This window comes from Homo sapiens, chromosome 2 (assembly GCF_000001405.40).
Source record: "Homo sapiens chromosome 2, GRCh38.p14 Primary Assembly".
NCBI lineage: Eukaryota > Metazoa > Chordata > Mammalia > Primates > Hominidae > Homo > Homo sapiens.
Genome location: NC_000002.12, coordinates 171,535,177 through 171,548,179, shown reverse-complemented (window position 1 = coordinate 171,548,179; position 13,003 = coordinate 171,535,177). Strand labels below are relative to the sequence as shown.

The window sequence follows — 13,003 nt, the reverse complement described above, 5'->3', positions numbered from 1 at the left end:
TGCATTCCTCCAGTGTAATGACACTTTTCTTCCAGGGGTTAAAAAAAAATTAAAAATAAATAAATAAATAAATCTAACCAGCACCAACTACAATATGCCCATAGTTTTTTTATAAGGGACGTAACAGACACTCAAACTGGTCATTAAGTCTCCTGCCAATATTCTACATCTCCTTGCTACACTGTCTTTTCATCACATCAACTTGGCAATACCCCAACCCTGGCTCAGCCATCTTCATGACTACCCCTGGTCTGCTAGGTAATACTGGAGTAAACCACAACCACAGAGACTAGCATCACTCCAAGTTCATGATTATGAGCAGTTCAACAACCCTGCTCAGCAAACCTCTATTGTCTTATTTATCAATGAGCTCTCCATTCTCCCCCATCCTCAAATGTCTGACTCTCCGATGTGCCTCCTTACTCTTGGGGGATGATTTTACTATCACCTCATGGGAAAAACAGAAGCAACTTCAGAGAAGAGCCTCAATTTCCTGCCACCAAACAAAACAAAGCAAGAAATCACCCCAAGCCAACAATTCTTTTCTTCAATTACATTGGAGATTATGTCCTCCAATTTTTCAGCTGTGCTCTGTGACCTGCTTCCCAAGGACCTAGCTATACATCACTGTGTCTCTCCAGTGTTCACAGTGTCTCTTTCTTTACTGGTGCCATCCTGTTAGCCTTTCCATAAGCCCAAACTTCTCACAATAAAAAGCAGAAGTAGACAAAAAAAAAAAAAAAAGAGCACCCAAATGCCTCCTTGGACTCTTGCCCCTGTCCAATTGTCACCCTCTCTGTCTCCTCCCCTCTCACCCAAACCTCTTGACTGAGTTACCACTCTGTTTCCTCACCTTCTGCTCCCTCTTCAATCCATTGCAGTCTGGCTCCTAGGAAGGAAGCCAGGAAATTGCTTTCTGGGGTCATTAGTGACTTCCAGGTTACTAAGCCTAATGATCAGTTTTCAGACTTTATTTTGCTTATCTCCTCAGTAGCATCTAACACTCCTCCAGCCCTCTCCTCCCCTCCAATGTTTCCCTTCTCATCTACCCACTTATTCAAACTTGTGGCTACCCACCTGCTCAATAAAGCCTGTGAGTGACTCTCTCTCATTCTTTACATCACGCATTAATTCTACCTGCTAAATATCTTTAGAATCTATCCACTTTGCTACATTGCTACTGCTACTCCTCTAGGCCACCATTGTTTCTCATCTTAACTCCATAAACACCTGCAAGCTAGTCTCCCTATAATTATACCTGTCCAGCCTCCAATTCATCTTCTATGCCCTGCTCTGGACAGCCTGGTCTCCTCCCTACTCCTCAAATACCACAAACTCTTCCCCACATGCTATTCCATCCACCTAGAAGACTCTCCGCCCTTTCTACACCAGGTGTGTGGCTTCAGGTCTTGGTGTGAGGTGTGACTTCCTTTATCCCCTATATGAGAGCTCTCACATACTATATGAGAGGCCTCCCAGAACACTTCCTATCTACCAAATACTCAATTGCCTATCTTCCCTGCAAGCTTTACAAGGGCAGAGAGCATGTCTCTTTGAGCCCACATTTGTCTTGTGGAACAGGTATCACCCACAGCCCAGCCTAGCAAGGTATCTGGCATATAACGGGTATTCGGTTCACTGCTGAATATATGAATAGATTTGGGAATAAAATTGCAATGACAAAAAATGCATGTTCTTAACCATGAAGGTACCTATGATCAATAGTAGAAGTGGAAAATGTCATCTGCAGGTCATAAAGGGGCATACCACAGGATTTACACTTATAATAACAACAGCTAGTTTGTGTTATACCAGTGTGCTAAGCCCTGGGCTGGACCTTTAGATGCATTATTTGGCTTTGATTCTTATGATTTTGTGAAGGATTATAATCCTTGATTTATAGCTGTGCAAAAGAAATTCAGAGAAGTAACTTGGTCCACGGTCACCAACTATCAAATGGATGAACCTAATCCAAACTGAGGTCTTCCTAATTGCAAATCCTGTTTTCTTAAACACTACCTGTCCTCTGGATCTGAGCAAGGAAGAAGCCAGGTGCCAAAATTCCTCCCACTAAGCAAAGCCATGAAGTTGTGAAATAATATTTCTGAGAAGCTCGGTTAGCACAAAGACAACAACGCGAGATATGAATCTGGATATTTCAGACAGCAAAAGAGAATTTTGAGACAAATATGTTTTTAACTCACCCAAGTTTAAAAATAGAATATATTTATATAATTGACTACATTAAGATGTTAAAGAAGAAAACTTAAGGTAGGGTGTTTACCGTTAGTAATAATTTATTGTATATTTCAAAATACCTAGAAGAGAAGAACTGGAATGCTCCCAACACAAAGTAAAGATAAATGAAATAATGGGTATCCCAATTACCCTGATTTGTTCATTACCCATTGTATACTTTTATCAAAATATCATATGTACCACAAAAATATGTTATGATTATTATACATCAATTAAAAAATAAATAAACATTGGCCGGACGTGATGGTTCACACCTGTAATCCCAGCACTTTGGGAGGCCGAGGCGGGTGGATCATTTGAGGTCAGGAGTTCGAGACCAGCCTGACCAACATGGTGAAACCCCGTCTCTACTAAAAAAAAAAAAAAAAAAAAAAATTAGCCACATGTTGTGGCACGAGCCTGTAATCCCAGCTACTCGGGAGGCTGAGGCAGGAGAATTGCTTGAGCCTAGGAGGCAGGTGTTGCAGTGAGCCAAGGTGGCAGCACTGCACTCCAGCCTGGGTGATAGAGCAAGACTCCATCTCAAAAAAAAAAAACAAAAAAGGTATATTCATCTCAGCAGAGATAGCAAAAGCATTCAATAAAATTCCACATCCATTTATGATTTAAGAAGAAAAACAAAACCTTTGCACAAACAGGGGTAGGAGGAAATGTGACGCATCTGTACTCAATGGTAAAATATTAGAAGCATTCTTTTTATTTATTAATTCTTTTTTAGCCTTTGGCAGGCATTCTCTTTAAAATAAAAAATAGTCAAAGATTCTTTTTTTTTTTTTTTTTTTGAGACAGGGTCTTGCTGTGTCACCCAGGCTGGAGTTCAGTGGTGGGATCTCAGCTCACTGCAGCCTTGACCTCCCAGGCTTAAGCAATCCTCCTATCTCAGCCTTCTGAGTAGCTGGGACCACAGGTGTGCACCACCAGAGCTGGCTTATTTTTATATCTTTTGTACAGACGGGGTTTTGCCATGTTTCCCAGGCTGGTCTGGAACTCCTGAGCTCAAGCAATCCTCCCACCTAGGCATCCCAAAGTGCTGGAATTATGGGTATGAGCCACTGTGCCTGGCCCCAAAAGTCAAAGATTTTTCTCTCTACTTCTCTACTTCTTATGGCTTCTATACACTTCTACATACTTCAGTACTTCTACACACTTGAATTCTGTACTGCACTGGCTAGGATACAGAGGATAAGATACTCTATAGGATGCAATTGGCTTTGTACATAAATAGTAGGAGCAGAGATGATTCAATAAATGGTGATGGGAAGATAGTTTACCCATCTGGAAAAAAATGAAGTTGAATCACATCACCTCACACATTAAAATTAATTCCAGATGAAGTAAGTACTTAAATATCAAAGACAAAACTATTTTTCATATTGTTGGGGTTTTTTTGGTTTGTTTTTTCTGTGTACTAGAGTAGAAAAGTAAAAGACAAAATTTTAATGCTCTTAGTAGAAAGCATAAGATGATATTTTGACCTCAGGGTAGAGAAGAATTTCATAAACAAGTCACCAAAAGAAAACAAAACAAAGAATGATAGTCTCAGAGGAAAAGATGATTAATTTGGTTACATTAAAATTGACAATTTCTGTTTATCAAAAGATGTTAACAACAGAGAAAATGCAAGCTTCAAACTAGGAGAAGATATAGCAATATATATAAATGAAAAAGAATTCGATATAGAATTCCTATAAATCTTTAAGAAAAAGAGAAACATTTTTTAAATAGACAAAAGACACAAACAGGTGTGTCTTAGAAGATAAAACACAAGTGAAATGAACATTAAAACTACAAGAATACATCATTAAGTACCAACTAGTTTAGCAAGGATTTAAAGTTTAAAGAGGGTGCAAGCTGGTAAGGATATGGGAACTCATAAACTTCTGGCAGGAATATAATCTGGGTCAATCACTTGGGAAAACAATTTAGCATTATCTTTTTAGGTTGAGCTTGTAATTTCACTACTATGTATATGCCCAGAGAAACCTTTAGATGTGAGGACCAGGAGATGTATATATGAATATTCAATGCAGCATAGTTTCTAACTGAAAATAGCAAGAGAACAGGTAAGTAAATTTGTGGCATATTTATACAGTGGAATACAAAAGTAAAAATGAATGAACTATAGCCAGAGGAATCAATACAGTTTAATCAGTAGAGTTAAAAAAAAGTTGCAATAGAATATATATGAGACCATTTTTTAAAAAAAGTTTCATTTAAAAAGCAAAATTAAACAATATATGATTTAATTAATCAATATTTAAACATCTTGTTTAATTAATCAATATTATTTAATTAAACATCTTGTTTAATCAATATATTGATTCACAGTATGTGATTAAAGTATTTTAAAAAGCAGAGAATGAGAATAAACACCGGGAGAATGGTAACCTCTAGGGGTTGGGGTAGGTAAGAACTTTATCTGGTTGAGGAGAAGAGATGAGGAGGAAGGAGAAGGAGAAGTCAGAGAGTTTCCAAGCCAGCGAGATGGACTGGATGTCCATTGCTGGTAGGGAGATGAAGGGAGCCGGGTACAAGGAAGAGAGGACTCCAAGGTTCAGGGCAGCCCCAGCTGATGGCCAGCAAGGGAACAGGGACCTCAGTCCTGCACATACAAGGACCTGGACTCTGCCATCAAGCTGAATTTGCTTTAAGCTGATTCTACCCTAGTCTCCCAATCAGAGCCCTGGAAGGCTGACACCTTGATACTGGCCTTGTTAGACCCAGAGCAGAGAAACCAGACAAGCCAATCTGGACTTCTGATGTACAGGTACTGTGAGGTCATAAATTTATGTTGTTTCAGGCCATTAAGTCTGTGGTAATTGGTTACCACAATAGAAAATGAATTATTTATGGATTTTTTTTTACCTTTATTGATTTACTTTTCCTGGTATATTTTGCTGTTCCCTTATAGTTACCTAAGTAAATAGCTTATGTATTTTAAGTTTTCTTTCCAAAAAATATAATAAAAGCATTTAAGCCTATATTCCTCTGGGAACCATTTTAATTAAACCCCAAAGATTTTTATTTATTTATTTTTTTGAGATCAGGGTCTGGCTCTGTTGCCCAGGCTGGAGTGCAATGGTATAATCTCAGCTTACTGTAACCTCTGCCTCCTGGTCTCAAGGGAGCTGTGCACCTCATCATCCCAAGTAGCCAGGACAACAGGTGTGCACCACCCTGCCCAGCTAATTTTTGTGTTTTTGTTTTAGAGATGAGGTTCCGCCATGTTGCCCAAGCTGATCTCAAACGTCTGGGCTTAAGCGATCCACTGGTCTCAGCTTTTCAAAGTGCTGGGATCACAGGAGTGAGCAGTGCACTATGCCCAGCCAGGACCCACAGATTTTTAAATAGGTATTCTCTTTATTGCTAATTGTTAGATCAGTCTCTCTCTTGATTTCTCTCTCTCTCGATCTCTCTCTCTGTCTTTCCTTTATTTGTAGAGACAGTCTCCCTATGTTGCCCAGTCTGGTCTTGAACTTCGGAGCTCAAATGATCCTCCCACCTCGGCCTTCGAAAATGCTGGAATTATAGGCATGAGCCAGCATGCCCAGCCTGATATTTCTTAATTTTACATATTAAGATATAGAGCAGAGTATAAGTTGGTTTTTAGAGAATCCAGATTAAAAGTCATATCCAGTATAAGAAATCTTTATTTCTTATTATTTTGTTCTGTGAATTCTGCAATTCTGGTGCTCTCTGAGGGGAAAATAGTTATAATAGAAACAAATGTAAAGAATGTTTAGAAAACATTTACAGTCACTGGGCGCGGTGGCTCACACCTGTAATCCTAGCACTTTGGGAGGCTGAGGCAGGCGGATCACCTGAGGTCAGGAGTTCAAGACTAGCCTGGCCAACATGGTGAAACCCCATCTCTACTAAAATACAAAAATTAGCCTGGCACGATGGTGGGTACCTGTAATCCCAGCTACTTGGGAGGCTGAAACAGGAGAATCACTTGAACCCTGGAGACAGTGGTTGCAGTGAGCCAAGATCGCAGCACTGCACTCCAGCCTGGGTGGCTAAGCGAGACTCTGTCTCAAAAAAAAAAAAAAAAAAAAAGAAAAGAAAACATTTACAGTCTCTGAATTGTTTTTATAACTTGCTTGTAAATACACTGAAATACTGACCTGTAACAAATAGCATATGACAGCTATCAGTCCAACCCAGCTGTGCAGACTGTACATATTGGCTATATTGTTAACATTGTGGTTCTCAAACACGGCCACCACAGAGATAATTGCAAGAATGGCAGCAACTGCATTTAACCCTGCATGGATGGATTTCATCAGGAGCTTGCTGCATTTCCAGGTCCACGGCAGTCTGTAGACGATGATGGCTAGGGAAAGACGAAAGGACACAGAATGTGTTTTGTTTTGTTTTTTAAACAACACAAAATGAACAGTTTGACACACTGGACACTCCCTTTTTGAAACCTTTTTCCCTTGGCTTTTGCTTCTCCCCTCTTCCCCATGTTACCCCTGCCTCTCAGTGGCTCCCTCTAGGGGACGGTGGAGGAGTTCCTTTGCTGGCATTTTCTTCACTCCCAACTTGTGAATGAACCTTGGTGCCTCTCAGGCTCGGTCCTAGGGCTTTTTCTCCCTCTGCACTCCCTCTTGTGGGTGATCTCATTCACTCTTTCACTGAAATGCTGTCTCCATGGCAGGGACTCCAAAAAATTTATATCTCCAGCCCAGAACTGTCTTCTAAGCTTCAGATCTGCATAATCCAATGTCTTCTTGGTATTTCCGTACGGCGTTTGCTTCCCAGACATCTCAAACTTATCCAAAACCAAATTCCTAATCTTAACAATCTGATTTATGCCTGTTGTCTCCTTTCTTCTTAAAAATGTCTCAGTTTGGCCGGGCCCAGTGGCTCATGCCTGTAATCCCAGCACTTTGAGAGGCTGAGGCGGGGTATCACTTGAGGTCAGCAGTTCAAGACCAGCCTGGCCAACATGGTGAAACCCCATCTCTACTAAAAATACAAAAATTAGCCAGGCATGGGGTGGCATGCACATGTAATCCCAGCTATTCTGGAGGCTGAGGCACGAGAATCGCTTGAACCCGGGAGGCAGAGGTTGCAGTGAGCCGAGATTGCGCCACTGCACTCCAGCCTGGGCAACAGAGGAAGACAAAAAAAAAAAAAAAAGTCTTAGTTTGATAAGAAAAAGAAAGGAACAGAAAAACATGCAAATTTAAACCATGCAATAGAGAAATACAAATTTAAGCCGAATGAGAATACCTCTACCACATATCTGAATGGCTAAACCTGGAAAACACCAAGTATCAAAATGAATATACAGCAGTCAGAACTCTAATGTTCTGCTGATGAGTGCTTTAATGAGAACAAAACTTTGGAAAACTGGCAGTATCTACTTAAGGTAAAGTTATGCATACCTTATTGTCCAGCAATTTCACTCTCGGGTATATGCCAAAAAGAAATATTTATATGATCATCAAAAGATACTAGAATATTATTAGCAGTACTATTTATAGTAACCAAAACCTGGAAACTCCCCCAAATGCCCATCATCAATAGAATGAATAAATAAATTTACACCATGGAAAGAAACGATCTACAACTAGAACTAGACCCAGTAATATGGATCAACCTATAATGTCAATCTCAAGAAGCCAGACGTTAACAAGTATATAGTGTAATTCAATTTATATGAAGTATAGAAACCAGCAAAACTCATCTCTGCATTGGAAAAGTCAGGATAGTAGTTGCCTTCGTGGGGAAGGATACAGCAATTACAATGGAACACACAAGGGATTTTGAAGACTCCTACTAACATTCTGTTTCTCAATCTAGGTGCTGGTTTCACAGGTGTCATAGACAGAAGATTCATCATTCTGCATGTAGAACAAACTCCAATTAAGTTTTTTATGGCCTGGCGCGGTGGCTCACGCCTGTAATCCCAACACTTTGGGAGGCCGAGGTGGGCAGATCACTTGAGGTCAGGAGTTCAAGACCAGCCTGACCAACATGGTGAAACCCTGTCTCTACTAAAAATACAAAAAAATTAGCCAGGCATTGTGGTGCATACCTGTAATCTCAGCTATTTGGGAGGCTGAGGCAGGAGAATCGCTTGAACCTGGGAGGCAGAGGTTGCAGTGAGCTGAGATCATGCCACTGCACTCCAGCCTGGGTGACAGAGCAAGACTCCGTCTCGGGGAAAAAAAAAAAAAGAAAACAAAAGTTTTTTTACAAAGGGTTGTCTTAAGTGTCCTGGTTTAAGCAATAAATTATATGGCCACCTTAACCAACATTCAGTTAATTTTTGTTCTGAAGATAAAATCCTGCCCCTATCCATCCCTCCAGTCTGTGTCAGGGAAAATTTAGATATCTGGAAATGTGTGGCAGATTGAAAAAGTTTATAGAATACTTCCTCAGACGATGGATTCCACTATATCAGCAGGGTATCACGTATATTTCTTTTCTTTTCTTTCTCTGTCACCCAGGCTGGAATGTAGTGTTGCGATCACAGCTCACTGCAGCCTTGACCTCCTGGGACCAGGTGATCCTCCCACCTCAGTCTCCTGAGTAGCTGGGGCTGCAGGCATGCACCACCACACGCTGCTATTTTTTCTATTTTTAGCAGAGATGGGATTCCATCATGTTGCCCAGGCTGGTCTTGAACTCCTGGGCTCAAGTGCACCACCCGCCTCAGCATCCCAAAGTGCTGGGATTACAGGCATGAACTACAGTGCCTGGCCTCATGTACATTTCTTAATTCCAGAAAATAAAAAGGAGCCTCACTTCACCAAAGGCTTTTATAATTTTAATATATAAAACTTCAGGCCAGGCGCAGTGGCTCACTGCGCTCAGTGAGCCACTCGGTGCTGTAATTTCAGCACTTTGGGAGGCCAAGGCAGGTGGATCACCTGAGGTCAGGAGTTCGAGACAAGCCTGGCCAACATAATGAAGCCCAGTCTCTACTAAAGATACAGAAATTAGCCGGGCGTGGTGGTAGGCACCTGTAATCCCAGCTACTTGGGAGGCTGAGGCAGGAGAATCGCTTGAACTCGGGAGGCGGAGGTTGCAGTAAACCAAGACCGCACCATTGCACTCCAGCCTGGGCAACAGAATGAGACTCTGTCTCAAAAAACAAACAAACAAACACCCAAGAACTTCATAGGATTATAAAAATATAAGGGATTATCTATTCCTTTTTCAGACAGAAACACATCTAAACCTACAAAGACCGATGTGAATTCAGCCTCTTTAAAGCTTTCAGCACAGGATGTCATTTTTCCTATTCTTTGGTTCCATTCTAACACTTAACAGTCCTCACCATTAGGACAATATTTCTTTTACTTAATCCCAACCCTGAAGGACTGCTACTTACTAAATTTAGTGTGTATATGGGTATCCTATGAATGTCGATTGGTTATACTTCCTTGAGAACGTGGAGACTTTTTGGATAATCATTTCTATATTCAAGGAATCTTTTCAAATGATTTAATGCAATACCTTAAAAAGTACACTTTTAAAGCAAACTCAAGGCCCCCTCTCACCCCTACTTCATCTTCTCTGAGGGCGTTAATGTGTCTTGCTGGTTCTCCACTGTATCCCCAGAGCCTAAGGCAGCCCTGGACTCAAAGCATGTAGCTCCTCCATAAGTATTTTTTAAATCTCTGTATTTTTCTTTTTGAGATGGAGTTTCATTCTTGGTTGCCCAGGATGGAGTGCAATGGTGCGATCTCAGCTCACTGCAACCTCGACTTCCTGGGTTCAAGAGATTCTCCTGCCTCAGCCTCCTGAGTAGCTGGGAATACGCGCCCAGCTAATTTTTGTATTTTTAGTAGAGACGGAGTTTTGCCATGTTGACCAGGCTGATCTTGAACTCCTGACCTCAGGTGATCCGCCCACCCTGGCCTCCCAAAGTGCTGGGATTACAGGTGTGAGCCACTGTGCCTGGCCTAAAATTTTAACTTGACATATAATAATTGTACATATTTATGCGGTACATAGTAATGTTTCAAAACATACAATGTATAGTGATCAGATCAAGGTAATTAGCATATTTATCACCTCAAACTCTTTTCTTTTTGTTGAAAACATTCAATATCCTCTCTTTTAGCTACTTGAAAGCATATAGCATATTATTGTTAACTCTAGTCGTCCTACAGTGCTATATAGAACACTAGAACTTATTTTTTAAACTATTTTGAGATTATCATAGATTCACAAGCAGTTGTAAGAAACAGTACAGAGAAATCTCATATACTCTTCACCCAGTTTTCTCTAACACCTTATATAACTATGGTACCATAGCACAACCAGGAAATTGACATTGATACAATCCTCTGACCTTATTCAGGTTTTTTTAAAATTTACTTATTTTTTATTTTTTTCTCTCCCTCCTCCTCCATCCCTTATTCAGATTTCACTAGGTTACTTGTGTGTATGTGTGACCCATAAGTATTGTTTAAATAAACAAACACAAAGCACTTTCTACAGACTGATCAAATCTGGAAACTAAATTGATGTCAACTCAAACACTGTGGTTTCCCCTCCTCATGCTTTTTCTCCTCTAAGCAGACCCTACATAATTCTTTAGTTTCCTGGGAAAGCAAATGCCTCTTTACCCAATGACCTAGTGAACTTTTATCTACAAAGTGGAGCCTTCTGCAATCTGTGTGTGATCACGCAATAGTAAAATAAAAATGTGCGATATATGAAGACCTAATAACACATCTCCCCCTTGCCTGTGTTGGGCTCATTTATTACACACACACGCACACATACACAGACACACAAACACACACACACAATTGAGTCCTTGCTAGGTAGTAGGTACCATCTAAGTGCTTCACAGTTTCATTATAATTCTCACCTCAACTCTGTGAAGATAGAATTATTATTACTATTGTACAGAGGAAGCTGAGGCAGAGAGGTTAAGTAGTTTGTCCCTCCTCAATTCATGGTTTAAAATTAATATTGTTGTTTTTTTGTTATCATCATCACCATCACATTATGCAAACACCACTCCGGGTAAGGAGTCTTAGATGAGTGAACTTGAACATCTACATACAGAAAAAAAAAATACTCAGGATTTCAACACTCGAAAAGCAAATTATGAACAATGAACCACAGTAGCATTTTCTCCCCAATCTGGATCATATTATATCAAAAATTCCCAAAATAAAAACTCATCTCTGATATTAAAAGTCAAGAGTAGGCTGGGCGCAGTAGCTCACACTTGTAATCCCAGCACTTTGGGAGGCTGAGGCAGGCAGATCATTTGAGGTCAGGAGTTCAAGACTAGCATGGCCAACATGGTGAAACTCTGTCTCTGCTAAAAATACAGGCTGGGCGTGGTGGCTCATGCCTGTAATCCCAGCACTTTGGGAGGCCAAGGCGGGTGGGTCACTTGAAGTCAGGAGTTTGAGACCAGCCTGGCCAACATGGTGAAACCCCGTCTCCACTAAAAACACAAAAATCAGCTGGGCATGGTGGTGCATGTCTGTAATCCCAGCTGCTTGGGAGGCTTGAGGCAGGAGGATCGCTTGAACCCGGGAGGCGGAGGTTGCAGCGAGCAGAGATAATACCACTGCACTCCAGCCTGGGCAACAGAACCAGACTCTGTCTCAAAAAAACCCAAAAAATTAGCTGGGCATGGTAGCATGTGCTTATAATCCCAGCTACTTGGGGAGACCGAGGCAAGAGAATCGCTTGAACCCGAGAGGCAGAGGTTGAGGTAAGCTGAGATCGCACCATTGCACTCCACCCTGCCTGGGTGACACAGCAAGACACTGTCTCAAAAAAAAAAAAAAAAAAAGAGTAACTATCATGATATCATGACTCAAAGGAGTTACAAGGGTTGCTGGGGGGGTTCTGATGTGCACAGAATATTGCTTCTTGTTCTGGGTACCCGGATGTGTGCATGTGATAAACACACATCCCTTCCGATTTAGGTACTTTTATGCATGTATGTTGTTCTTCAGTAAAAAGTTTACTTTTAGAAAGTGTGGGGGCCAGGCACAGCGGCTCATGCTTGTAATCCCAGCACTTTGGGAAGTCAAAGTGGGTAGACTGCTTGAGCCCAGGAGTTCAAGACCAGCTTGGGCAACCCAGTGAAACCTCATCTCTACAAAGAAATACAAAAATAAACCACACCTGGCAGTGTGTGCCTATAGTCCCAGCTACTCAGCAGGCTGAGGCAGGAGGATTGCTTGAGCCCAGGAGGTGGAGGTTGTAGTGAGCTGAGATCGAGCCACTGCACTCCAGCCTGGACAACAGAGCAAGACTCTGTCTCAAAAATAAATAAATAAAGCCAAAAATTCAAAGACAACCGTGTTCCCAGTGAAGACTTCTTACTCTTTTCTGTCTCAAAAATAAATAAATAAAGCCAAAAATTCAAAGACAACCGTGTTCCCAGTGAAGACTTCTTACTCTTTCTAATGCTATGAAGCATCACAGAGAAATGTGTCAAATTTGCTGTAAAACTGAACTTTGCCCCCTCTGAGTGTCAAAACTTGATTTTTAAAAACCTTTTACATTTACGCAAATTGGCTGCACGCTAGCTTTCCCTGTCCAGCAGTAGAATGAATAGAATATATTCAGTCTTTTATTGATCATTTGGGGTCATCAATCAAACACCAATTATTATCCTGTTACTCTAAAGGGAAGCCCTTAGGGGTTTCTGAAGCAGGAGAGGTGCTCACCTCTGATCCAAATGAGCCCATACAATTATGGTTTGAGAGTCCCTGGGTCTCTCTCAGAGTTTTTCTATCTC

General features: G+C 41.0%; 1 protein-coding gene across 3 annotated transcripts in view; it reads right to left on the bottom strand.

Moving 5' to 3' along the window:
- CYBRD1 (cytochrome b reductase 1) overlaps window positions 1–13,003 on the bottom strand; it is a 35,897-nt gene that overhangs the window by 9,950 nt on the left and 12,944 nt on the right. For 2 of the 3 annotated variants that reach the window (NM_001256909.2, NM_024843.4), the window contains exon 2: window positions 6,387–6,595. The exons of the other annotated variant lie outside the window; for it this stretch is intronic. In NM_001256909.2, the coding sequence (NP_001243838.1) occupies window positions 6,387–6,595 (209 nt within the window). The remainder of the gene's footprint in view (window positions 1–6,386; window positions 6,596–13,003) is intronic. 3 annotated transcript variants of the gene reach the window in all.